Source organism: Homo sapiens, chromosome 4, assembly GCF_000001405.40.
Source record: "Homo sapiens chromosome 4, GRCh38.p14 Primary Assembly".
Lineage (NCBI taxonomy): Eukaryota > Metazoa > Chordata > Mammalia > Primates > Hominidae > Homo > Homo sapiens.
The window spans coordinates 109,977,487-110,002,812 of NC_000004.12; the positions used below are offsets into that span (position 1 = coordinate 109,977,487).

At 39.7% G+C, this 25,326-nt stretch overlaps 1 protein-coding gene and 1 pseudogene across 4 annotated transcripts in view, besides 4 other annotated features; both read left to right on the plus strand.

The window, feature by feature from the left end:
* Nucleotides 1-25,326, plus strand: part of EGF (epidermal growth factor) — a 100,884-nt gene that overhangs the window by 64,604 nt on the left and 10,954 nt on the right. For 2 of the 4 annotated variants that reach the window (NM_001963.6, NM_001178131.3), the window contains 8 exons: nt 2,486-2,653; nt 3,340-3,489; nt 5,936-6,055; nt 10,258-10,374; nt 11,098-11,223; nt 15,761-15,883; nt 17,247-17,394; nt 22,193-22,360. In NM_001963.6, coding sequence (NP_001954.2) covers nt 2,486-2,653; nt 3,340-3,489; nt 5,936-6,055; nt 10,258-10,374; nt 11,098-11,223; nt 15,761-15,883; nt 17,247-17,394; nt 22,193-22,360 — 1,120 coding nt within the window. The remainder of the gene's footprint in view (nt 1-2,485; nt 2,654-3,339; nt 3,490-5,935; nt 6,056-10,257; nt 10,375-11,097; nt 11,224-15,760; nt 15,884-17,246; nt 17,395-22,192; nt 22,361-25,326) is intronic. The other 2 variants (NM_001178130.3, NM_001357021.2) reach the window with 2 other exon arrangements.
* Nucleotides 2,353-3,552: an enhancer, noted in NCBI's record as "BRD4-independent group 4 enhancer chr4:110900995-110902194 (GRCh37/hg19 assembly coordinates)". NCBI's record gives its function as "activates an origin of replication core promoter dependent on BRD2, P300/CBP, MED14 and CDK7 cofactors, and independent of BRD4, by STARR-seq in HCT116 cells {active_cell/tissue: HCT116}" and the evidence as "EXISTENCE:reporter gene assay evidence [ECO:0000049][PMID:35650434]".
* Nucleotides 11,236-12,435: an enhancer, noted in NCBI's record as "CDK7 strongly-dependent group 2 enhancer chr4:110909878-110911077 (GRCh37/hg19 assembly coordinates)". NCBI's record gives its function as "activates an origin of replication core promoter dependent on BRD2, BRD4, P300/CBP, MED14 and CDK7 cofactors, with strong dependence on CDK7, by STARR-seq in HCT116 cells {active_cell/tissue: HCT116}" and the evidence as "EXISTENCE:reporter gene assay evidence [ECO:0000049][PMID:35650434]".
* Nucleotides 11,467-11,761: a silencer, noted in NCBI's record as "tiled region #5378; HepG2 Repressive non-DNase unmatched - State 24:Quies". NCBI's record gives its function as "represses a minimal TATA promoter and a strong SV40 promoter by Sharpr-MPRA in HepG2 cells {active_cell/tissue: HepG2}" and the evidence as "EXISTENCE:reporter gene assay evidence [ECO:0000049][PMID:27701403]".
* Nucleotides 14,839-14,944, plus strand: RNU6-35P (RNA, U6 small nuclear 35, pseudogene; annotated as a pseudogene).
* Nucleotides 17,012-17,301: an enhancer, noted in NCBI's record as "active region_21813". NCBI's record gives its function as "activates an Ori minimal core promoter by ATAC-STARR-seq in GM12878 lymphoblastoid cells {active_cell/tissue: GM12878}" and the evidence as "EXISTENCE:reporter gene assay evidence [ECO:0000049][PMID:35858748]".

Sequence of the window (25,326 nt, forward strand, 5' to 3'; positions counted from 1 at the left end):
ATATGATATCTGCAAAGCCAAGGAATCTAGTGCAGAACACATACATTACTAAAAAAAAAAAAATCATCCAGGCTGGGCATGGTGGCTCACACCTGTAATCCCAGCACTTTGGGAGGCCAAGGTGGGAGGATCACTAGAGCCCAGGAGTTCGAGTCCAGCCTGGCCAACATGGCGAAACTCTGCTCCACTAAAAATACAAAAATTAGCTGGGCATGGTGGTGAGTGCCTGTAATCCCTCTGCCACTCAGGAGGCTGAGGTGAAAAGATCACTTGAGCCTGGGATGTTGAGGCTGTAGTGAGCCGTGATTGTGCAACTGTACTCCAGCCTGGGTGACGGAGTGAAACCGTCTCAAAAAATACAAAAACCAAAAAATACATCACCCAAATAAATGTAAAATTGTATCTTTGACATAAAAAGGTAGAAAGGAATTTGAAAATTTCTAACCCGAATGTGAGGACACTATATTTTAAACTAAAAAGCATAGCAGATACTTTGTGTATCATTTATATTGCTACTATATTGTATGACTAATACAACTATTGAAGGCCATTATCAAATAATTTTATATTAAATTATGTAAGTAACATTCCCATTATTACAGTGCCATCTACTGGTATATATGTGGTGGCTTCCCAGCTGCCAGTTAAGAATTTCTTCTAAGAGTGGATGTTCCATGCTGTTACCACAAAAATGATAACTGAGGTAATGCATTTGTTAATTGGCTAGATTCAGCCATTCCACAATGTATATATATTTTAAAACATCATGTTGTATGCAATAAAAACATATAATATTGTTTGTACATTAAAAATGTATTTTAAAAGGTTGAAGATATTCTTAATTTAAAATGCAATTAATTGTGGTTCTTCTGTAAACAAAAAATAAGAAAGATTATGTCTAGTGTGAGGTATTTGTTTAAACACTATAGCTAATTCTAACATGTGCTTTAACATGGATTAATTCCTGAGGACATTATGCCAAGTGAAATAAGCTAGTCACAAAAAGACACGTACTGTACAATTCCAATTATTTGAGGTATCTAGAGTAGCCAAATTCATAGGAAAAGAAAGGAGAATGGTGGTTTCCAGGGGATGTGGGAGAGGAAATGAGAAGTTGTTTAATGGACATAGAGTTTCAGTTTTGCAAGATGAAAAAATTCTGGAGATTGGTTGTACAACAATGTGTGAATGTACTTAACACTACTGAACTTAGAAATGGTTGAGCTGTTAAGTTTTCTGTTATGCTTTTTCACCATGATAAAAAAGAACTATAGCTATGTTAAAAATTCCCTTGCTGTACTTAAGGCTTTAATTTGGGACAAAGGGCCAGAGACTAGAATGAATCTTAATGACCCTGATCAACAATGATAAGTGGAGACTCATTGTAACCAGAACAAGTTATTTGAGTTTGCCACCAGTAGGGGAAGACATTCATTCTAATCTGTCAAATCCATTGTTCGTTTACAAAAAGAGTGGTCTGTGGGAATGTGAGTAGCCTTGATTAAAACATCCAACTTCAGCCTCCTTAGCTTTAGTCTCTAACCACCTGAGATAGAACGTTAAAACATTCCCTTGCGTATTCAATACTTGCATGCCTTCTCAGAGCAGTTCCAGTGGCACAGAGAGGTAGGTTTGGTGAAGGTGGGCTCAGAAAGATGCCCACTTACTGTTAGTAGGAGGCATGAAAATGGAGGCAGCTGATAATAAATGACTCTTTCAAAAATGTGGCTAAAAAGGGAAGGAAAGAGACAAGGAGGAGCTAGAGGGGTCACGGGGATGAGGAAATGAAGATGGGAGAGAGGTTATAGTAGACAGAGGGAACAAAGCTAGTGGAATGAAGAGAGGGAAGATGTAAGAGAAAGGGGGTGGTCGTTGATGGATCCAGGCCCTAGAGAAGGCAGGAAGGGTGACATCAGGGGCACAGGTCAATATTAAATAAGGAGAGAGGGGAAAGAAGGTGGGGGACTAATGCAGGCAAATGTGTTGGTGGAGATGGGAATGTGGGGAGACTCTTATACAATTACCTCAAATTTTGAAAAATCCTTACAAGAACTTGTGAATTTGATCTACCCCTTATTACTGCTGCTCAAAAGAGTAGGAACCTAAGGCAAAGAGTGGTAAGATAAGTTACTCGAGTTTAGTCTATAAGTAGCGACAGATGTACTAAACAAGGAAAATTCCACCTTTCTCCTTCATGGGGCTAGGACGACAATCAGCCCACATTCTCCCACTCTGCAACTGCTGGGTGATAGTGGGCCTTGCTGGGACCTCATGCCACTATGCTCCCATTCTAAGGTGACGTTCCCTCCTCATGTGGGCTTTCCTTGAGGCAGGTGTGTGAGTCGGTGGCTCACTCATAACTTGCTGAGTAGCTAAAGAGCTGATTTAGTGTAGGAATGTTGTGTAAATTTCAAGCCTTGTCCTTTCGTAAATAGTCATTGCAAAGACAAAGAAGGTGTATTTAACAAACTTGAATTGTTTCCAGGTCACCCATTTGCTGTAGCAGTGTTTGAGGATTATGTGTGGTTCTCAGATTGGGCTATGCCATCAGTAATGAGAGTAAACAAGAGGACTGGCAAAGATAGAGTACGTCTCCAAGGCAGCATGCTGAAGCCCTCATCACTGGTTGTGGTTCATCCATTGGCAAAACCAGGTACATACTGGAGATGTTACACAGTCTTTCCTTGGCTGGAATCTGCAACTGTTTTAATTGTTTGATGTCATGCAGTTGGCGGGGGGGTGGAGGGGATTTTGTAACTTTCACTAACTGTGTAGATGTTAAGATTTTCTAAGATTTAAGTTTGTTTAAGACAATCTGGTAGTTTGGTAATTGGGGCTTTATCCCTCCAATTTCACCTCTTTTCTTGAACAACTTTTACTTACCTGCTGCATTTCGAAGAGCCTTGGGTTAAGGCAGGCAATTTAGACACCGGCAGTGGAAGCTTCTGTCGACACTTGGACCTTTCCATACCCCTGAGGAGTGAGCAAATGGAAAAGGCATTTCACATTTTATAGTAGCTCTTCTTTCTGAATTGCTCTTTGTCAGTTTGACTAGATGATGAGTCAGGAAATAAGAATCACATTTGACTAAAGAGCTTCTTGAAAAAAGTGCTGGCTATACCCAGTACTAATAAGGTAATAACATTCTGGGCTTATCTTAGAATCAGTGGCTCCTTGGGGGAACTCTTCTGAAATAGCTATTGATATACCCTCTATTTAGATACACTGCATTTCTCTCCCTAAAAGCTATAGCTCCCTAAAAGCAAGCTGTAGACTTGCATTAATGGCATCCTTTTCATCTTCAAACCCACTTGTGAATTTGTTTCTTTTCTCTACTAGGAGCAGATCCCTGCTTATATCAAAACGGAGGCTGTGAACATATTTGCAAAAAGAGGCTTGGAACTGCTTGGTGTTCGTGTCGTGAAGGTTTTATGAAAGCCTCAGATGGGAAAACGTGTCTGGCTCTGGATGGTCATCAGCTGTTGGCAGGTAATATAATAAATTATGTGGCAAATTACCTAACGTTGGCTCAGAAATACAGCTGTACATCAATCTTTATGCTTTTGCTGATTTTGAATATTTTGGATGTTAAAAGTTCTCCTGTTTTTAGGAATGCTAAGAATTTGTTTGTTTATTTGTTCTCTTCTGCTGAGTTTTGAGTTCCTTATTACAGGCAAAATTCAATTGACCTCTAGTGGTAACAGTCTTAAGCTCCAAGCCCTCCACCTCCCCATTTATAGTGGAGTGGGTCCCAGGCTTGGAAATAAATGCCAAAATGCTATCACCTCACAAAAATGTTCAGCGATATTTTGTTTAGAAGTTTTATGTCCTCAATTTTAGAGGTAGTAGTATATGATCTCTTATCACATGACAGGTCTTAATAAGAAAATCAAAGTCCTTTATAAAAAATAACTTCAGGATATCAGACAAATGTGGGAAATCCAGCCTGAGAAGGCTTGTGATGTACTTTTTTACAAACTAGATATGACTTTGAGGAAGAGGAAGAGTAAACCAAGTGTGAGGTATAACCAGTAGTACTTATTTGCCTCCCTTGAATGTGCACCCAAACAATCTGGGCATCTGTGGATTCATCCCTTGATATCTTTCTAGCAGAAATATACCAAAGATAATTTACATTTTATTAAATTTTTTAAAAATTTATATTTATCTGGTAGGCATGGTGTAAATATAAGTAAAGTAACAGATTGATGAAAAATAAACAAAAGTTATGCAATGAAAAAAAGAGGCTAGTTTCAGCTCACAATTCAAAATTTACTTATGTTTTTCCTCTAGCTAACCATCATAACTTTAGTATGCACTGAAAGAATTTATATGCATTTCTTATTTTATTACATAGAGTGTTAAAAAGCTGTGTAGTCAATGGTCAAGAGTTTTAAAAATTAATAATTCTTATTGATTCACAACAATCTTCTTGTGAAACTGGGTTTTATTTTTATTTTTTGAGACAGGGTCTCCCTCTGTTGCTCAGGCTGGAGTACAGTGGCATGTTCATGGCTCACTGCAGCCTTGGCCCCACCCAGGCTCAAATAGCTGGGACCCTACCTTAGCCTCCTAGTAGCTGGGACCACAGGCATGCACCACCATGCCTGGCTAATTTATTTTTATTTTTATTTAATTTATTTAAATTATTAATTATTAATGTATTTAAATTATTAATTTATTTTATTTTATTTTTATTTTTTGTAGAGACAAGGTCATGCTATGTTGCCTAGGCTGGTCTTGAACTTCTGGCCTCAAGTGGTCTTCCCACCTCGGCCTCCCAAAGTGCTGGGATTATAGGTGTAAGCTACCCTGCCCAGCCAATTTTTTTTTCTTTTTCTTTTTCTTTTAATTTTTTTGAGACAGGGTCTTGCTCTGTCACCCAGGCTGGAGTGCAGTGGCAAGATCTCAGCTCACTGCAACCTCTGCCTCTAGGGTTCAAGAGATTCTCCTGCCTCAGCCTCCCGAGTAGCTGGGATTACAGGCGTGCACCATCATGCCCAGCTGATTTTTGTATTTTTAGTAGAGACAGGGTTTCACCATGTTGGCCAGGCTGGTCTCAAACTCTTGGCCTCATGTGATCCACCCGCCTTGGCCTCCCAAAGTGCTGGGATTACAGACATGAGCCACCGTGCCCGGCCTTTTTTCTTTTCTTTTCTTTTCTTTTTTAATATGAGTGTGTGGCAGTGAAGAGCTCAGCTACTGGTAGAGTTTGCTGTCATTTCCTTTTTCCATACTAAGACACCAGCTGTTGCCCACATTCCTTTTGCCATATCAGTACAAATGTGAACATGGTGGAAAAAGGCAGTTAACTTTATAGTATTATTATGAAAAGAATTATGACTTTAGGGACATTCTGAAGGATGAGCCCAGGGTTCTGTGGATCACAGTTTAGAAAACTGCTGTCTTACAGAATCCATTTCTCCCCTGTTCTGAGAGTGGGCAGTGCGAGAATCTTATGCCTGTATTAAATCATGACTTTTTAATGTCCTTTCATATTATAAGATGTAGGTAAAATCAGGCTAAAATAAGCATGAAAGCAGCATAAAGGAGGAAGCATGTGTATGGAAGACAAGTTGGGAAGATCATCTATTTTGTCCTTAATAACCGTGGGCTGTGATTATGAGCTGATCATGTCCCTGAGGGTTTTGGTATTTTACTCTTGTTTTTTGCCAGTACCTGAAAGAGTCCTATCTTTCTTCCGTACTGGTTCCTTATCCCCCGAATCATTAAGTGCTCAGTGAAAATGAGAGGGTGTGGGATAGCAGGGTGAGGTTTACTAAGTTACCAAGACCCTGACAGTTTCTCTGAATCCTCTTACTGTAAGAATGAGTCTGAACTCACAACCAATGAATAGTCGTAAACATAAATGAAATCAAACTTTTTTTTTGAAACAGAAAAGCTAAATTTAATTGCATCTATTGACCTTCAATAGGTGGTGAAGTTGATCTAAAGAACCAAGTAACACCATTGGACATCTTGTCCAAGACTAGAGTGTCAGAAGATAACATTACAGAATCTCAACACATGCTAGTGGCTGAAATCATGGTGTCAGGTATGAATAACTAGTTCTCCAATATACCTTTGGTTCCAACAGTTTCCATCCTACCAATGAGAAATTTTGAATTACCTTTCTAACTTAATATTGCCTAAGTTCTACACAAGGCTAATGAAACCAAACCTTGGACTCAAGTCTGTCTCTTCTGAATGATGTGCCTGAGAAAGATGGCTGCATATTAGTCTGGACATAAACAGGACACCTTGAGAGTCTTTGGGTGTGAGTCTTTGTTCTGTGAAGAAACAAAGTAACTTGGAAACAAAAGTAAAACACAGGACAACATATTTGAATGTATTTCCATCCACCCCTGATATTTTTGGTATTTGGTCCACCTTGCTGTTTTTCTATTAGCCTGAAAAGTTGATAGTAATTGATAAACAAATATAGGTTGAGCACTTCAATTGCTGCAGAAAGTCCACAAACAGCAAATGTTGGAATTCTTTTCTTCTGTGTTGCACATTTGTCACTAAAATGCCAAATCATGTGTTCAGTATGTAACAACTTTAGGGAACTTAAGTCTTTCTTGTTCCATATTCACCTAGGAGGTCAGTGGTTTTTCCAGCTGGGTTCAGCTCAGCCCTAGAGCTTCTGCAAACCCCATCCTTTCACTTTAGGTCACTGCCCTTCAAGCAGTGCAATTTGACTTTGAAACATTTTATTTGTTTGTGTTACTAAGTAACACTTTAACAAGATGTATGTGGCAAAAAAAAAAAAGGAAAATATTTCAAAACTCCACATTAGGACTTTTAAGGAGATGCTTTACCCAACTTTTGTGGTCTGCAAACTACTTTGTTGATGTACGTGGCTCTGGGTACCTCTTACCTCACCTTATCAGTGTGATTTTTTTATAAGATATAAATAAGGAGGTTCATAATTTTAGTAATAACAATAACATTTGCAGAGAATGTTAGATTATATATACAGTCATCCATCTGTATCCACAGGGGATTGATTCCAGGATTCCCAAGTATATCAAAATCTGCACATATGCAAGTCCCAAAGTCACCCCATGGAACCCAGGTATACAAAACATCAGGCATCGGTGTAGGCAGGTTTCACATCCCACCAATAATACTGATCTGTGTTCAGTTGAAAAAAATCCAGGTATAAGTGGACCTGTGCAGTTCAAACCCGTGTTGTTCAAGGGTCAACCATAATCTCTAATTTGATCCTCATTACAAATCAGTTCACAGATATGAAAGCAGAGAGACTGAGATCTATTAAGTTAGTGACTTGACCAAAGGTTTTTGAAAATTATGACCAAATAATTAATTAATGTGAAAATAAGACGTTCTGGAAAACTTCATTAACATTAGGAATATAGTGTGTTTAGCAATTTATTTGGCATACACTGTGCTAAGTGCTGGGGATACCAAGATGAGCTAAATACCATCCCAGTCCTCAAGGCCACAGTTAGTTGTGGAGACAAACAGCATGAAAGAATAAAATACTTTAAACCAATGTTAGGGATGTAGAGAACCTTTGCAAAGTCACCAGGAATCCCTAGAGATTCATAGAGCATATTTTGAAAGACTAATGGTTGAGGGACTGAAAGACTAAGATAAATGACAGATAGGTGGGAATGGGGGAGTGATTAAGTGACCAAAGTATTTGTGAATTTGGCTTAATACCTGGAGCCTAGTACAGAATAGAGGGAGCTGATTGTCCTGGTGAAAAACCCCTCATCTTTCCATACCTGGATTGTGTTCTGTGTTGTCCTAGCTTGTGAAGTCTTACTTCCACCTAAGTCAGGCTTGGGGGTCTAATTTCTGTTTCAGAGTGAGATTTCACATCAACAAAGTGTCTATGGCTAAAAGACAATGTGAAAACTCCACATTAGGATTTTAGAGTATAATCTAAAATTCTTAACGTGGCCTTTTGGGCCCTGTATGAAACAACCTTTAGACACCTCCCCAGCCTCAACAAGGGCTCACCAGCCCTCTTGCCTTCGGCTTTCTGTGGCCTGCTTCCCTCATCCTGGCCTTGTTTCTAACAGACATGGACATGTGTGCTAGTTGTTTTTTCAGCCCATGGTGTGTTTCTTAGCCCTTCAACGTCCTGTGTGTCCTTCGCCCTCTGGCTCAGAAAGCCTTTCCTAGTTCCTGACCGGGCTAGGGCTGCCTATTACAGCTCTCTTAGAACCTCACTTCTGCCCCTTGATCACATTCATCACACTGTACTTCAATAACTAATTATGCAAAACAGCAGAGCCTTTGTCAATAGCAGAGCCCTATTCTTCACCACTGTATTTTTGCCTCTCAGGAAGGCCTAATATGTAGTAGGTACTTTCAAATGAATTATATTAGTTTCACTAACAGGACCTTGGGTCTCTTCTAGTGTGATAAGGTTAATTCTTATTTAAATTATCACAATATCTTTCTTTGTCATCCTTATTTAAATATGTATCAAAGAGAGTTTGATCAAATATTTGACTAAATATCTTGATCAAAGGGGTTTTTTTTAAGGTCACTTTTTATTCTAGTCCTTAGAACCATCATGAAAAATAGACCTGGCAGAAATTGTCACTGCTGTTTTAGAGAAGAGGAATGTGAACACAGGCATTTATTTCTTCCAGAGCTTCTTTGTGGCAGAAACAACAACAACAACTTTGGCTGTAGCCTGTCCCTCCTACAACTGCATAACTATTGCTTTTCATTACGCACAGCTGCCTTGGGTTTGCATGTTACCAAGTAAATCCTGAATCATATTCTAATTTAAGATAATTCTGCAAGTGATTTAAAACATCTTGGGTAATCGGATACTGTCCACTCTACACTCTGAGCAGCCTTGTGATTTGGGAGCTAGTCTTCCAAATAAATGCTGAATTAAATGGATAATTGATTTGGTCTGATCTTATCCATCTCTAAGAGTCATGAGTGACAGGAGATAACCAAGCAAGCATGAAAGGCATCTGCTCCCACAAGAGAAATCTTCTCGCTCAAGTAGCTAAGCAAATCAAATGCAATTACCCAATGTCTGCATTCACATGCCACCTGAATCCTACTTAGATCATTTAACTTTCTTTAATTTATCGGCAAGTTTGGAGGGCTTTTTAAAAAATCTCTTCTGTACTAAGATGAGCAAGCTTACCAGTGAATAGACAGATGATAAATTATATCCTACTGTGGTATGTCAGATTCCCCCAACTCCAAAAAGGTAGGGCAGAGTGGCATTTGGAGAATGATTACATACATAAGTAAAGAGAAAAAAAAAAAACCTGCTCATGTTTATGGCTCAACATATAACTCTGTTCCCCAGGGCACTTGGATTTCAATGGAGTATGAAATGAAATGATCCATTTACTGCACTTAACTTGTATGGTTCATGATTTTGTAAAAGTGCCTTGAGGTGTGCAAGTCACTACATAAATCTTGATAATAAACACACATTGTGACATACATATTCTATTATATATGATATTAGTAAATTGTCAGTAAATCTTTTTATAATTGAATTTCTTTGCCATGTTGGTGCACAGATCTACTTGCTAAATATTAGTCTGTGTGTCTTTGGGGGATAAGAATAGATTGACTCCTTTTGTTGTCAAAATGGTTGGGAAGTTTCAAAACAAGCAACAGACCTTTCAAATTTGAGTCTATTTGCTTCTAGCAATTTTATAATTTACATTTGCAAATGCTTTTAAAAATTATAAATAAGTTCATATAGGGTTCCTTGAACACACCAGATAGTGCTTTAAAACTAAAGTTCTTTGAGGGCACATAAACAGAAACATGGCTATGGGACTTTGGGACTATGCATCTCTTTTTTTTTCTTTTTTTGACAGTGTCTCACTTTGTCACCCAGGCTGGAGTGCAGTGGCACCATCTTGTCTCACGGCCGCATCAACCTCCTGATTCTCCTACCTCAGCCCCCCAAGTAGCTGGGACTATACACCAGTTTTCAGTAGAGACAGAGTTTCACCATGTTGCCCAGGCTGGTCTCGAACTCCTGGGCTCAAGTAATCCATCCTCAGCTTCCCAAAGTGCTGGGATTACAAGCATGAACCACTGCACCCAGCCAGCTATGGATCTTTTAATGCAGTATAGTTTATAGGTCAACTAAGCGTTTCTATTTGGAGGTTAACCTGTCCCAGAACTTGGGAAAGGAAGTGGTGGACTGTTCTGTAGAACCAGAAGATTAAAGTCCGTTTTCTTCTCTAAGGTCTAGAAATAACTGCACGGGATTCTTGCTATTTGTAGATCAAGATGACTGTGCTCCTGTGGGATGCAGCATGTATGCTCGGTGTATTTCAGAGGGAGAGGATGCCACATGTCAGTGTTTGAAAGGATTTGCTGGGGATGGAAAACTATGTTCTGGTAAGAGAAAAGGGCAAATTCACATATTTGGACAATACTGAACCAGAAACATTTTTTCTGCTCTTTCTGACTCAAAAACTCCAGAAGGATTTATGTAATCAGCAGATTTGAATAAGTTATTTGATGTTAGCTAAAAAAAAAAATTGAATGACATGCATAGAAAATGAGACATATAAATATATTTACACAAATACATTGAGTTTATAGTAAAATTTATGGTTACACAATATATGCAGTTGTCATTAAGGGGAAGAATTTATAATTAGCTTTAGAAGCATGAATTTGAGTTCAAGTCAAGTTTATGACTTCACCAATTCCAATGAAAACACAACTTTTTTTTTTTTTTTTTTACCCCAGAAGCTTAGGTCATAAGTTTTAGTCAAATGAATAGATTAATGGATGGGTTCCTATTTTATATTAATAGCCTCAAAATTATAATTTAACGATTGCTGGAAAGATCTCAGTCCTTATGGTCTGAAACTCTGGCAGAAAGTGATTTATTTACATATTTGCCTAATCGGATAGGTGGGAACTCTGTAAAGACTAATTCAGCAGTAACTTGTGAACTTTATGTCCAAGATGCAGGGCGTGCCTGATGTTGGCAACAGCACCTGTAAAGGACTGAATAAGAATTGAATATACGATTATGCTTATTCTTTCCAACTAGTCCCATTTATATCAGGATTGCCTAAATATTGCACTAGTTCATAATTTTGCCCACAGATATAGATGAATGTGAGATGGGTGTCCCAGTGTGCCCCCCTGCCTCCTCCAAGTGCATCAACACCGAAGGTGGTTATGTCTGCCGGTGCTCAGAAGGCTACCAAGGAGATGGGATTCACTGTCTTGGTAAGAGGACACATGTGCTGGGGAGGAGGGCAGAGGCAGGCCTCAGAAATCGGGAAACAATGTGGGTGCATGAGCAGAGGGAAGACAGGATATAATTGGGGTGACACACATGTCAAGATTTAAAGAGTTGTGCGACCTGCTCAAACTGACGTATTTCCATTCTTGGTGAACAGTCAAGTTTGTGCCCTTGTGTTATTACTGCCCTAGTCAGCTTCAAGCCCCTTTGGAGGCTGTTTACTCCTCTGCCTTTCTAATTCTTTCTGGGGTTTGAGTGACACCAGTGTCTCATCAATACTTCCCACCTTGAGCCATCATGGGGGGAGTTGGACAGCATTTACTTGTCAGTGAATTTGGTAAGAGAAATGTGGTGAACTGCAGAGCTGATGACAGTTTGTTGGAAGTCACTGCTGTGTGTATAAAGAAAAGGAGGTGTGGCTTGTCAAAGGGCTCCTCTCACATTTCTTGATAAGTTCAATAGGTGGGAGAGTCAAGCCACTGACGTTGAAATACAAGTAAAGAATGATTCAACCCTCTTTCGTAATCCCCGTCCTCTGGCAAGGTCTGGGTGTGGCACGTTGGATTGGGAGTTCGCGTCGTGGATGTCTCATACGTTTCCAGGTGTCAGTAGCATCGCATCACGTACAAGTGAAAACCTGCCTGAAGCCGTCTGAGGCACGGTGAAGTGATTATCTGAAGTTTTACAGCGCTTTAAAACTTCTCTTTCAGTATTTTCTTTCCCTCCTTCTGAAAACCTAAGAAACTGATAAGAAGCTCAAATGATACTGCTTTCTCCCACTTGCTAAGGTTAAAGATGAAATATCAATCATAACTATCAATCTTTTGAATCTGGTTGATTTAAATCAGACCTTTATTGGATTAGTTTTGTGGAATCCACAGACATCTGTAAACACTCTTTTAAGCACATATTTGGCTGTCAGTCAGGAAAATGTCACTGCTCTAATTAAGCAGGCCCATAGATAATTTAGACAAGCTGATTTCATATTTAATTTCCTTTGAAGAGAAAGGAAGGTATCTCTTCTTGGATGTTTAAACTCGTTAGGCTCTGGTTTCTCACACTGTTACTAACTCATCTCCTTCCAGTATCGAGCACGCAATGGGGTGTGCTCACCCTGCCTGCATGGTTGGCACGGAGTCCTCAAACTCCATGAAAGCAGTGGGCTTGCTCCTCTATTCTCTCTCCCCCAGCTCACTCTTACTCTCTCTCCCCGCCCCATATATATATGTAGTTATAATACTTCGAACCTTGTCTGGCACATAAAAAGTGCTATGTAAAATTTTATCCTTATTATTATTAAGAGTAGTTGAGTTTCTTGGTCAAGCATACTTCTTTGTCTTTGCTTTGGAAAAGCTCTCTCTTTCTCTCAAGGTGATAGTTTATTGAAATTATATCAGGAACTCATAAAAGAGTCAGTTTGGGCCATCTGGGATAGCAATTCAATGTGTTAAATATTTAATTGGCCCCTATTAAGAATAAGGCCACAGTACTGGAAACCCTGAGAAATATCAGGATGAGGAAGGTAGTCTTTGATTGCAAGGAAAACGTGACCTAAAAGAAATATAACTGTGATCAGTGATGAAGAAGAGTGCACATCATAAGAGAAGTAAAAACCACAATGAAAGTTCAGAACTGGGAGAAATATTTGTTTGAGGTATTGGGAAAGATTTCAGGGAGGAAGTGTCATTTTGGAAGGAGCATGGGGGATAAGTAATTTCATTTGCAGAAATGTGAAGGGATGGGAGGAGTCCAGGCATGAACAGATCACATGACTGCCATTAAGGGTAGAGAGTAGCCTAGTTGAGCACTAAGTTTAGGTTATATGAGGGGAAGAACAGAAACTAAGGCTGATAAGGTAGTGTATGCCATAACAAAATATCCTAGACTGGATGGCCTAAGCAACAGAAATATATCCTCTCATGGTTCTGGAGGCTCGAAGTCCTAGATCAAGGTGCTGGCTGATTTGGTTTTGGGTGAAGGATCTCTTCCTGGCTTGCAGATGGCCACCTGCTCACTGTGTTCTCATATGGCCTTCCCTCTTTGATGTGGAGAGAGAGAGAAAGGGAGACAGAGAGCAAGAGAACGCTCTAGTTTCTCTTCCTCTTTTGTTTTCTTCTTCCTCTTCTTTTAAGGACACCGATGCTATTGGATTAGGACCCCACCCTTATGACCCCATGTAACCTTACTTTCCTCTTGGTAGATGCTTTCTTCAAATACAGTCACTTTGGGAGTTAGGGCTCAACATATGAATTGGAGGGGCAGGGACACATTTCAGCCTGTAACAGATGGGTTGGGTTACCTCTGCGGAAGACTAAAATCTGAGGGTTAGTCACTGAGGTTTCACTTCTCCAGTGAAACTGGCTGAGGGTCAGACAGTCAGTGTTGTCCCAAAGTTTCTACTAACCACATTACAACTGTAAAATGAAACAGGTGAAATGAATTTTAGCAATAATATTTTATGTATTCAAATATATCCAAAATATTAACATTTTAATATCAGTGTAAAAATTATTGAGATATTTAATATTCTTTTTTATTTTGGTACTAAGTCTTCAAACTCTAATGTGTGTTTTATACTCACAGCACTTCTTAATATGAACTAGATGCATTTCAGGTACTCAATACTCTCAAATGGCGAAGGCTAGGAAGTTGGACAGCAAAGTTCTAGGCAACAGGGAGCCACTGGCAGCATTTGAGTAAAGTGGTGCAATGATGGGTTTATCATCGTTGTGCTGGAGGGAGAATAATGTGGCACTGGTGTTTAGGCATGGCGCGGAGGAAACATGGGATCCAGGAATGAGTAAGGCTGTTCTTGCAGTAATGTAAAATTGAGAGGAAGAGAGGCCCTAAATGTTAGGGTGGCAGTAGCTGAGAAAGAAAAAATGGTGGGTAGTTGGGAAAGAAAGGATGACTTTTCTGATATAGTTTATTCTTATATAAAAAGCAAAACTGTTGTATTTGATATAATATGTATGTCAATGACAGGATGTCTATACAAAAGAGTTAAGTATGAATCTTTAGGATCTGAACTTTTAAATGTTTGCCTAGAGGTTGTTTATTAATCTCCAACTTTGGGAAGTCTCCTTTCCTTCAAAGCAGGAAGAAAGCTTCCAGCCTCTCTCAGGAGCTTAGAACACCTGCATGGGGCTGGGTGTGGTGGCTCATGCCTGTAATCCCAACACTCTGGGAGGCCAAGGCAGGAGGATCACTTGAGGCCAGGAGTTTGAGACAGCCTGGGCAACATAGCGAAACACTGTTCTCCACAAAAAAAAAATTAAAAACAAACAAGCAAACAAGAACTAACCAATCATAGTGATGCAAGCCTGTGGTCCAAGCTACTTGGTGGGTTGAGCTGGAAGAATTGCTTGACCCTAGGAGGTCAAGGCTACAATGAGCCATGATCACACCACTGTACCTCATCCTTAGCAACCAAGCAAGATTCTTTAAAAAAAAAAAAAAAAAAAAAAAAAAAAAAGACAGAGAGAGAAAGAACGGAAACAAAAAAGGAAAACAACACGTGCATGGGCATGCGTTGTAGGACCTAGTTCATCTCTCCAACATTCATGAAAGTCCCCTTAAACCTAAAAATGTATAGGGCTGTGCTCGCTTTGGCAGCACATATACTAAAATTGGAATGATACAGAGAAGATTAGCATGGCCCCTGCGCAAGGAGGACATGCAAATTCGTGAAGCGTTCCATATTTTTAAAGTCAGGAAACAACAGGTGCTGGAGAGGATATGGACAAATAGGAACACTTTTACACTGTTGGTGGGACTGTAAACTAGTTCAACCCCTGTGGAAGATAGTGTGGTGATTCCTTCAGGGATCTAGAACTAGAAATACCATTTGACCCAGCCATCCCATTACTGGGTATATACCCAAAGGAATATAAATCATGCTTCTATAAAGACACATGCACACGTATGTTTATTGCAGCACTATTCACAATAGCAAAGACTTGGAACCAACCCAAATGTCCAACAATGATAGACTGGATTAAGAAAATGTGGCACATATACACCATGGAATACTATGCAACCATAAAAAATGATGAGTTCATGTCCTTTGTAGGGACATGGATGAAGCTGGAAGCCATCATTCTCAGCAAACTATCACAAGGACAAAAAACCAAACACTGCATGTTCTTACTCATAGGTGGGAATTGAACAATGAGAACACTTGGACACAGGGTGGGGAACATCACACACAGGGGCCTGTTGTGGGGTGGGGGGAGGGGGGAGGGATAGCATTAGGAGATACACCTAAAATAAATGACGAGTTAATGGGTGCAGCACACCAACATGGCACATGTATACATATGTAACAAACCTGCACCTTGTGCATGTGAACCCTAGAACTTTAAGTATAATAAAAAATATATATTAAAAAAATATATAGGTCTCTGAGAACATATAGCATGACAGAAGCTGATGAAGCTCCTCTTCCAAAGGCTGTCCAACTATAAAACCCTCTTTTTCTGTACCCCACTTTTCTCTCCCGTACTCTGTCTTTTCTGACAGATATTGATGAGTGCCAACTGGGGGAGCACAGCTGTGGAGAGAATGCCAGCTGCACAAATACAGAGGGAGGCTATACCTGCATGTGTGCTGGACGCCTGTCTGAACCAGGACTGATTTGCCCTGGTAGGTTGGTGGGTGGTCTACAGTGAAGGGGAGGGACTTGGCTCGGGGATATTCTATACCCTAATCTCTATTTGCATTAGAGATTCTAAAAATCATTCAGTTCAGGCAGGCTGCAGAGCTGGCTTTCCTGATTAGGACGATGCTGGGCTTGAGAATTTGAAATGGTCCAAGTTTTCTTAATTTAATAGCATCTGGAATAAATCCTTTTTTATTACTCACAATCCAATAAAGATGGGAACATGGGTATCTCTCTTCAACTGTGCAACTAATCTCACTATTTGTAATGTCAATTTGTGGGGCTGCTGGATAAGTTTTGCAGGGCTAGGCAGGTCGGTGAGAATGTCTGGACTCAGCATTTTAAATCACTTTCAAGGATTTTAAAATATTACTTTAAAAAGGCAGTATTTCTTGTTCTGAATTAGAACTCCAGCTCTCTTCTCTTTCTTTTCTCAATATTCATAATGGTTGACTCCTGCTTCCTGAATCTTCTTCCCATAACAGCAGTAACATCTCACCATCAGCACCCCAGAAGGGGAGCTGGCTTCACCTAGACCCTGGAGACCAGGATGGGGGTCTTTCCCATCACTGCCCACTTTTTGCCTGTCAGCCCTATAAGCAGAAAACATCCTAAGAAGAAAAATTCTGTGCTTACTTGGTCTCTGTTTTTTTTTTTTTAGCATATTATTTTTCTCAAATAATTTGCTCTTCTTAAAGGTACTGAAAAACTGCTTATATTTATGTAGTCAGCTGCACATGTTTACCTTTTAAGGAGCAGTGAACCATTCAATAAAAGAGACTTTACTATTATATTTTGGCATGCCCTCTGTTACGGGAACATTTTCTTCCTGCCAGAGTTGCTACAGTCTTGTCCTTGAGGGCTCCTCTGAAGGTTAGTTTTTAGAAGAAAGCACTGTGAGAAAAAATTTTCGAGACTCCAGGATATTGGAGGTAACGGACTGCACATTGATGGGTAGGTTTTAAACCATAGAGTTACCAGTTGTTCAGTGAGACCTTGAAGCTAACTGTCACTTCACATGGTTAGTGTATGTTTGTGTGTGACAGGTTTGTTTTTATGAGATCAGTGACTCTGAATTCACATGGCGACTTAGGACTGGGTGTTCTTTTACCTGCCTCCAATATGCTTTATGTATCAGATAATACTGAGCCCAAAGGAAGAACGGCTGGTTTCATAGTGAATGACTAAGGTCTAGCTAGGAAAGTGAAACTATTGTCCCTTCTAGTAGTTCTTCTGTCACTAAAAGATTTATGTCACAAACTATTCACAGAAACTAGTTCCTCATATTGATACTTGAAAGACACTAATCCATTCAGAAAGTAAAAGTAATGTCTTGGGTTCTTTTAGACTCTACTCCACCCCCTCACCTCAGGGAAGATGACCACCACTATTCCGTAAGAAATAGTGACTCTGAATGTCCCCTGTCCCACGATGGGTACTGCCTCCATGATGGTGTGTGCATGTATATTGAAGCATTGGACAAGTATGCATGCAAGTAAGTTAAACTGTCTTGCTGATGGCACAGAGAGATGCTATTCAGTCCATAACTTGTAGCTAATTTGTAAAATTTACACTCAGGATGTTTTTCTGCAATTAGGTGTTCTTTTGGAAAAATATAAACATACACATATGAACCACGTGTGTGCACTTCATTGCATGCTCCTTGTGTATCACGATGCCCCCTTCTAGTTACCGGTGATAAGTATAAATCTAAGGAGTTGGTGATTTCCCCTTTTACTGAAATAATTTGATGTTACTACTAGTATAGTCTAGGGATTAAATGTCTCATCCTGGTTGAAAAACTTAGGTTTGTGAGATAATTCCTTAAAACTTTTTTTTTCCATCAAATGTGCTTTATATTATGTGTGAGCATCCGTGATCTGTTTCTGGATTTACAAAAGTTTGGTACATATTCACACTGGACTTCTTGCCAGAGTCCAAAAATATTTTTCTTCAAAACTAATCATATGTATATTTTTTCTTCACTTCCTAACAGTTGACTTTTACATTTTGTTGTTCAGTAACAATTGCTGATACTGCAGCTGCTGCTTTTTGCTCCCTTTTTGCCCCCATAAGGGTTTCACAGTGGGTAACGTGTCAACCTGGAAAGGAGATTTGAGGAAGCCCTAAAACTATGAGACATTCCCACTGTGCTCACTCCGAAAACCTTTCCTGTGGACCCTTTAACAAAACCCAAACCCACAATAGCCAGTTCTGCCTCAAATTTTACTTTTAATTCATTTCATATTTTCAAGGCAATAGGAGGAAACTGATAGATACCAAAAAACTAATACGTCTCCCAGGGTCAGGCTCCTGATCCATTGATAATTTTCTCTGTGCCTGAGGGAGGGGTGATGAAATAGTCTGATCCTCACAAATAGCTACTATAACCTTAAAGTCTTCTCTTATTTCATCAGTAATAATGAACAGAATAACTAAATTTGTGGAAGAGTAAGCTATATTCTGTGACAAAGTGTATGGCCTTGCACTAGAAATCATGTCCGCATGACAAAAATAGTGAAAAATTGCTCATGAATACTAGTAAAAATGACTCAGTCCTTATAGAATTCTGTTTTCATATTCATATTTACATGCTATAATTTCCTAACCTATGATAAATTGGGTATTTGCAATAGTTATTGCTAGTTTTAATGTTAAGAATCTAATTGGTTTTGCCTGTTCATTGTTTCTGATCATCCCAAATAATGAAATTACAAAAATAAATGTCCGAATGTATTAGGTCATGGTTGTTTTCCTCCATGATACTTTAGACTATAAAAATCATTATAATAATATAAAGGGTACTACAGGGTTACATACTGCATTTAGAACAATGTTTTCATTTGGATCTGATAACATCCATTTATTAAATGATTGATGAACTCTTTAACACACTGCTTTTCTTTCTGTCATTAAATCCTGATGAAAATATCATATTTCTCTGATAATGTTTTAAACATGAGTTGCTACAAATGACAAACTGGAGATAAGACTCAAATTGAAGGACCTTGAACCTAAAGCAATATTTAAAATATTACCAGAGTTCACAGTAATCTGGATCATAACCTTGTTTTTAAATTGTATATTTAATAAAAATGTGGTTTAATTAACTATTCAACCCTTGCCTCCTCCTGCCCTGATGACCTCACCTTATCTTTTATTAATTCCTTAATAACAAGTCTCTAGGAAGTGCTTTACCCATCCAACTTTTATTAGAAACACTTCCTAGGCAGGTGTCATTCTGTACAGAGTGCTCTTCATGCTGTAAGCAGGTTTTGGAAGAGCCAGCTCTTTCTTCCTTTCTTAGAGGAACTGGAAGTTCCCCTCAGCCACAAGAAACCACAGGGTGCCCCCGGGGTGATGCAGAGGAAGTGAGAGTTGGGAGTCTCCATGCCCAAGGTATTCCTCGAAGATTTCCTGGTTTGGAGATGCTCAGGAGGCTCCAAACCTTCTGGGCTCAGAGGAGGTCCTCGTTCATTCTGTCTTTCAGCCAAACACCCTTCTGAACAGGTCTTCTTTAGACCAAGACCCCCCAACATCAGTCCTGTGAAATGCTTTTTAAAAACAGGCTGTATGGTCAAATCACGTTGAGAGATGCATCATACTCTACCCTCAATTTTTTTTTTTCAGGAGACCATCGTCTTATTATTACTCAAATTGGTTTCCCTGAGCATTCGGGGAGCAGAGTTTTTAAGGACAGCTTGGTGGGTTAGGGGAAGCCAGTGAGCCAGGAGTGCTGATGGGTCAGGGATGAAATCACAGAGAGTTGAAGCTGTCTTCTTGCGCTGAGTCAGTTCCTGGGTGGGGGCCATAACTTCAGATGAGCCAGTTAATTGATCCGGGTGGTGTCAGCTGATCCATCAAGTGCAGGGTCTACAGAATATCTCAAGCATTGATCTTAGGAGCAGTATAGGGAGGTTCAGAATCTTGTAGCCTCCAGCTGCGTAACTCCCAAACCATAATTTCTAATCTTCTGTCTAGCCCTCAATTCTTGATTCATAGTATATACCACAACACATTAAAAAGTCTTGTTTACCAGCCCGGGTAACATGGTGAGACTCCATCTCTACCAAATTTTTTTTTTCTTTTTTTTTGTGATGGAGTCTCGCTCTGTCGCCCAGGCTGGAGTGCAGTGGCGCAATCTCAGCTCACTGCAAGCTCCGCCTCCCGGATTCACGCCATTCTCCTGCCTCAGCCTCCAGACTAGCTGGGACTACAGGCACCTGCCACCATTTTTTATATTTTTAGTAGAGATGGGGTTTCACCGTGTTAGCCAGGATGGTCTCCATCTCCTGACCTCGTGATCCGCCCGCCTGGGCCTCCCAAAGTTAGCCAGGTATGGTGGTACACATCTGTATTTCCAGCTACTTGGGAGGCTGAGGTGGGAGAATCGCTTGAGCCCAGGAAGCTGAGATTGCAATGAGTTGTGATGGCACCACTGCACTCCAGCCTGGGAGACAGAGTGAGACCCTGTCCATAAAAAAATAAAATAAAATAAAATAAGCCTTGTTTATCTGTATTGAGTCTAGAATGTCTCAAAATTATTTGGCTATGGAAAGGCAAACTTATTTGGCCACAGAATCTTTTGTTTGGTTTAACAGAAGAACTAATTCATAACCAAAGAACTAGTATCCTGTGTCCTCCTCCCACCCTGGAAAATGCTGAATGACTATTCTGGGCCTTATAAGACTCAGTGAGGCTCTACTATTGCAGCTGACTTGGATCTCCAGGACTCTTGGCTAAGGGACTGACATATTCCTCAAGACCCCAGACTTTCTGAAAGGATCAGAGGTGTGGCCCATTAACATCCAACAGTTTAAAAGTGGTGCTGCTAGGCATTGATAGTAAATGGCTGTAACCAAAGATAGCTAGAATTAAAACAGCATCCAAGAAAGCCTGCAAGAATGATGGTCCTTTATGCTTTTGCACTCAGATCCTGATATCTCTTGCATGGTTAGTTCCAGAAGATAGCTTTTCAGAGGTGAATAGAGCATAAAACTCTTTTTGGAAGCAGCATGGTATAGTGGAAAGAACATAGGCTTTGAAATCAGAGAACCATTGGAGTCAAACCTGTCACTCATAGCTGTGTGACGTTGTACAAACTCCTTGAGCCTCAGTTTCCTTATCCATAATACAGGAATATGCCACCAAAAATAAAATAAGTAAAAGTGCCTAGCAGGATGTCAAACACACAAGATGGTTAACAAGTACTAATCCATTTCCCTCCTTCCTCTGTGAGTGAGTTGCCCAGTCCCTCTGACCAGCTAAAGGTAGAGACAGGCCTAGAGCCCAGATCTTCTGGAGCTTTGTCCAGTGTTTTTTCCATGCTGCCTCTTCTCACTATGGGCACTGGTGTCAGTTCTCTGTATTTTTATTCCGTTAAGTCCTTTTGGAATAAAGTGGGGACATGGATGAATAAATAGTTGATCCAGGGACCAAAGGGAGGAATTTTTAATAAGTGGGCATTACAGAGTGTTTAATAGGATGTTTTTCAAAGTTGATGCTTTTGCAAAGGATAATAGAATACAGATGTTTACCTGAGATCTTAATTGTTTCTAGAAATGCACATTCCCAGTAGATGGCAGCATTGCTTCATTTACTTCAAAAAAGTTCAGCAGTTCACTCTAGTGACAGTTTCACTAATGGGACAGCAGGGTGTTTGTAGGTGAACGTCCCTTTTTCCTCCATATAGCTTTTTCTCTCATTGAAGAAAATAGGCAAATGCCTGTATGTATGTTGTACTGGGTCTTCCCTTGCACTAGTAGTGATTTTTTTTTTTAAAGGAAAAAAGTTTTCTCTGCAGACTAGGTTATGTGTTCTGTTTAGAAACTGTACACATTCTTCTTTTATAGCCTGGTTTCAAGTGAGGAACTCTGCCTTCAAATTCTCCTTTCCTTTCACCTATACTCATTGCAATCTGGCCAAACATTTGTTTCCAAAACTCCCTTGGCTCTTAGGGCAGAGTTGCTTTGTGTTGGTTTTAAAAGGTGGCTCCTCAGGATTTTAGCCTAACAGAAACTGATCTTTAATCAATGTCCTGTAATGCCTTATAGAGGCAGTATGCAAATAATCCCCCATAAATCCCAGAGCAAACAGACGAAAGGGAGAAGTCCATGCTGCATTAACTTGTAAATCATAGCGCTTTCAACTGACCCCTGATGGATTTTCTATATGTTTCTAAAGAGCTGAGTCTGGAAATGCAGAGGTTGAGAGACAGCTGAATACTGAGTGTCAAAACTATCAGCGTTTTTGGCCAGGCATCTCTGATGACCTCTGTTTGTGTGTTGTCACAGCTGTGTTGTTGGCTACATCGGGGAGCGATGTCAGTACCGAGACCTGAAGTGGTGGGAACTGCGCCACGCTGGCCACGGGCAGCAGCAGAAGGTCATCGTGGTGGCTGTCTGCGTGGTGGTGCTTGTCATGCTGCTCCTCCTGAGCCTGTGGGGGGCCCACTACTACAGGTGACCCTGTCTTTCCTTTGGTACTGGAAACCTCTTTCTAAGACCTCCCAGGGGAATGCCTGTCTCCTTGAGATGAGATGTATGAAATAGTACCTCTACATACTACATTTAAAACGTGAAATAGGCTGGGTGCAGTGACCCATGCCTGCAATCCCAGCACTTTGGGAGGCCGAGGCAGGCAGATCACTTGAGGTCAGAAGTTCGAGACCAGCCTGGCCAACATGGTGAAACCCCGTCTCCACTAAAAAGGCAAAAAGTAACAGGCGTAGTGATGCACACCAGTAATCTCAGCTACTCGGGAGGCTGAGGCATGAGAATTACTTGAACTTGGGAGGCAGGGGTTGCAGTGAGCCAAGATCATGCCACTCCACTCCAGCATGGGCGATAGAGCGAGACTCCGTGTCAAAAAAAAAAAAAAAAAAAAGGTGAAATAACAGTACAATTTTTACTGTTAGCTCAGGATTTCATTGCTCTGAAACATCAGTGCTTTTACGTTTTCCTTGTTCCATTCCAGTCATTGTCCATACACCTTCATAGTATATGTGTTATTTATCAATCACAATATGGTTTTGCGTTCCACTCTCTTTGTTTAATATTATATGCTCCCCCCATAGCCTGCATAACTATAATTTTTCATTGCTGCCTTCCATTGAGTTGATTTTCCACAAAATATTAACTGTCATAAAAGAAAATCAATATCTTCCCTAATTTGGAAGGAAATTTCTGGTCCTCAGATTTTGTGCTTTTAATAATTTCAAGTTAACAATTAAAAACTGTAGACAATAACATTTATACATTTAATTCTTTAAAACTAACACTACATTAGGGTGCAGGCACAGGCATCACACTGCTCATTTTCTGTTTTCTTAGAAAGTAGGACAGCTTCCTCTATTATCATCAATATTGAAAAGCATTTTATGTACGGTTATAGTTTGTGTTGTACAAAATCAGTGAGTCATAAAACTTTAGGGCTGAAGGGGACTTTATGGAATTATCTAGTTCAATCTTATCATTTCATGGCTGGAGGACCTAAGACCCACTTGACTAATAGGTCCCAATTCTCTGAGATGTACAAAATATCTGCCACCATCTGTAGATAAAAATTTAACCACATTTATGGGTACTACACAACCACTCAAGTGGCAACTGTCTTGTGTTCTGGAAAATTCAACATATCAGCCAAGATGTACTTATCAGAGATCCTGCTATAGCCTAGTGTAGTGGTTAAGAGCACAGGCTCTGGAATCAGATTATACAGGTTCAAATCCAAGTTAGTGTCTAAATAACACCAGACATGTGTCCTAACCTCTGTATTCATTAATTTCCTTTACTATAAAGTAGGAACAAGAATAGTACTTATCTCAAGGGTTATTGTGAGATTAATTGGGTTAACCTAAGTAAAGGCTTTAGTGTAAGTCTGGCATATAGGAATTAATAAATGCTATCTGTTATTTTGATTTTTTATGAACTGTAACCTTCCCCCAAAAGAGTCATATGCTCTAAGCCCTTTTCTACCACCTCTTGAGAGACAAGATTCTTAGGCACAAACTTGACATTTTAATTCAGTAGTCCATCAATAACATTGTAATTTTTAGCCTGGTGTGTAATCAATATCTTGGATATGTGTAGAAAGAATATTGAATGATCAATGGTTCATCCCATTGGATCATTGCCAAAGGGCAGGAAAAAAAAATGGAAACTAGAAACTTAAGTTCATGCGTGCCATAATTATTAAGTGTTTTTTCCTATTTGTTGTGTTATGATATAGTATGTCTTATGTTCTGTTGGCATTTTTCAGAGATCTGGATTGAAAGCTAACGGCAAATTGCTGGCTTTTTAAACTTGGAATTCAAAGACCAGCTCAGCTGAAAGATGACTATAGACTTTACATACATATAAGAGTATCTTCAACCTCAGACTCTCATACTCCAAAAATCAGAAGTGAAAGGACTATTCCTTCAAAAAGAAAGCTCATCAGAACCCTTTCTTTTTCTCTTCACTGAAATGCATCCAGAGTTGTACAATTCTTCCTGAGTGAATCTATGGTTATTTACCTAACAATTCTGATCAGTGTACCTGCTTACCTCTCCGCAAAGTTTCAGCTATGTGCATAACTACGTTTGCACTATAGATCAATTCTGACAAGATCAAATTAAAACTGCTAGTCTAAATGTTGCCATGTCATACTCAACTGTACCAACAAATACAGCTCTAACATTGAGTTTTTAAGTTAGACATGCTAACTGTTTTTCTTTAAAGGGTTAAAATCAGTTATTTCCTCCCTTATACCATTCCTTGCCTGTCTTGTCTAGCTTGTTTGATACCGTTTGTCTTCTGTGTCTCTCAAAGGATTAATTGTTTGTGTGCTGGGTGTGGTGGCTCGTGTCTATAATCCCAGCATTTTGGGAGGCCAAGACAGGCAGATTGCTTGAGCCCAGGAGTTCAAACCAACCTGGGCACCATGGCAAAACCCTGCCTCTACTAAAATTACAAAAAATTACCCAGGCATGGTGGCACACAGCTATAGTACCACCTACTTGGGAGGCTAAGGTGGGAGGATCGCTTGAGCCAGGGAGGCAGTGATTACAGTAAGCCGTGATTGCACCACTGCTCTCCAGCCTGGGTGACAAAGCGAGATTCTGTCTCAAAAACAAAACAAAACAAAAAAGACTAATGTTTGTGAAACTAAATAAATTTTTCAAGTATTCTAATCTTATTAGTTTAAAACATGTGATTTCTTGGAAGGACTCCCTTGTAAGAAAATCAACAGGAAGTATTTCATCACAAAGTATAACTTTGTTTTTTTGTGGGTTTTTTTTTAACTTTTATTTTAGGTTCAGGGGTATATGTAAAGGTTTGTTACACAGGTAAACTTGTGTCACTGGGGTTTGTTGTACAGATTATTTCATCACCCAGGTATTAAGCCCAGTACCCAACGGTTATGTTTTCTGCTCCTGTTCCTCCTC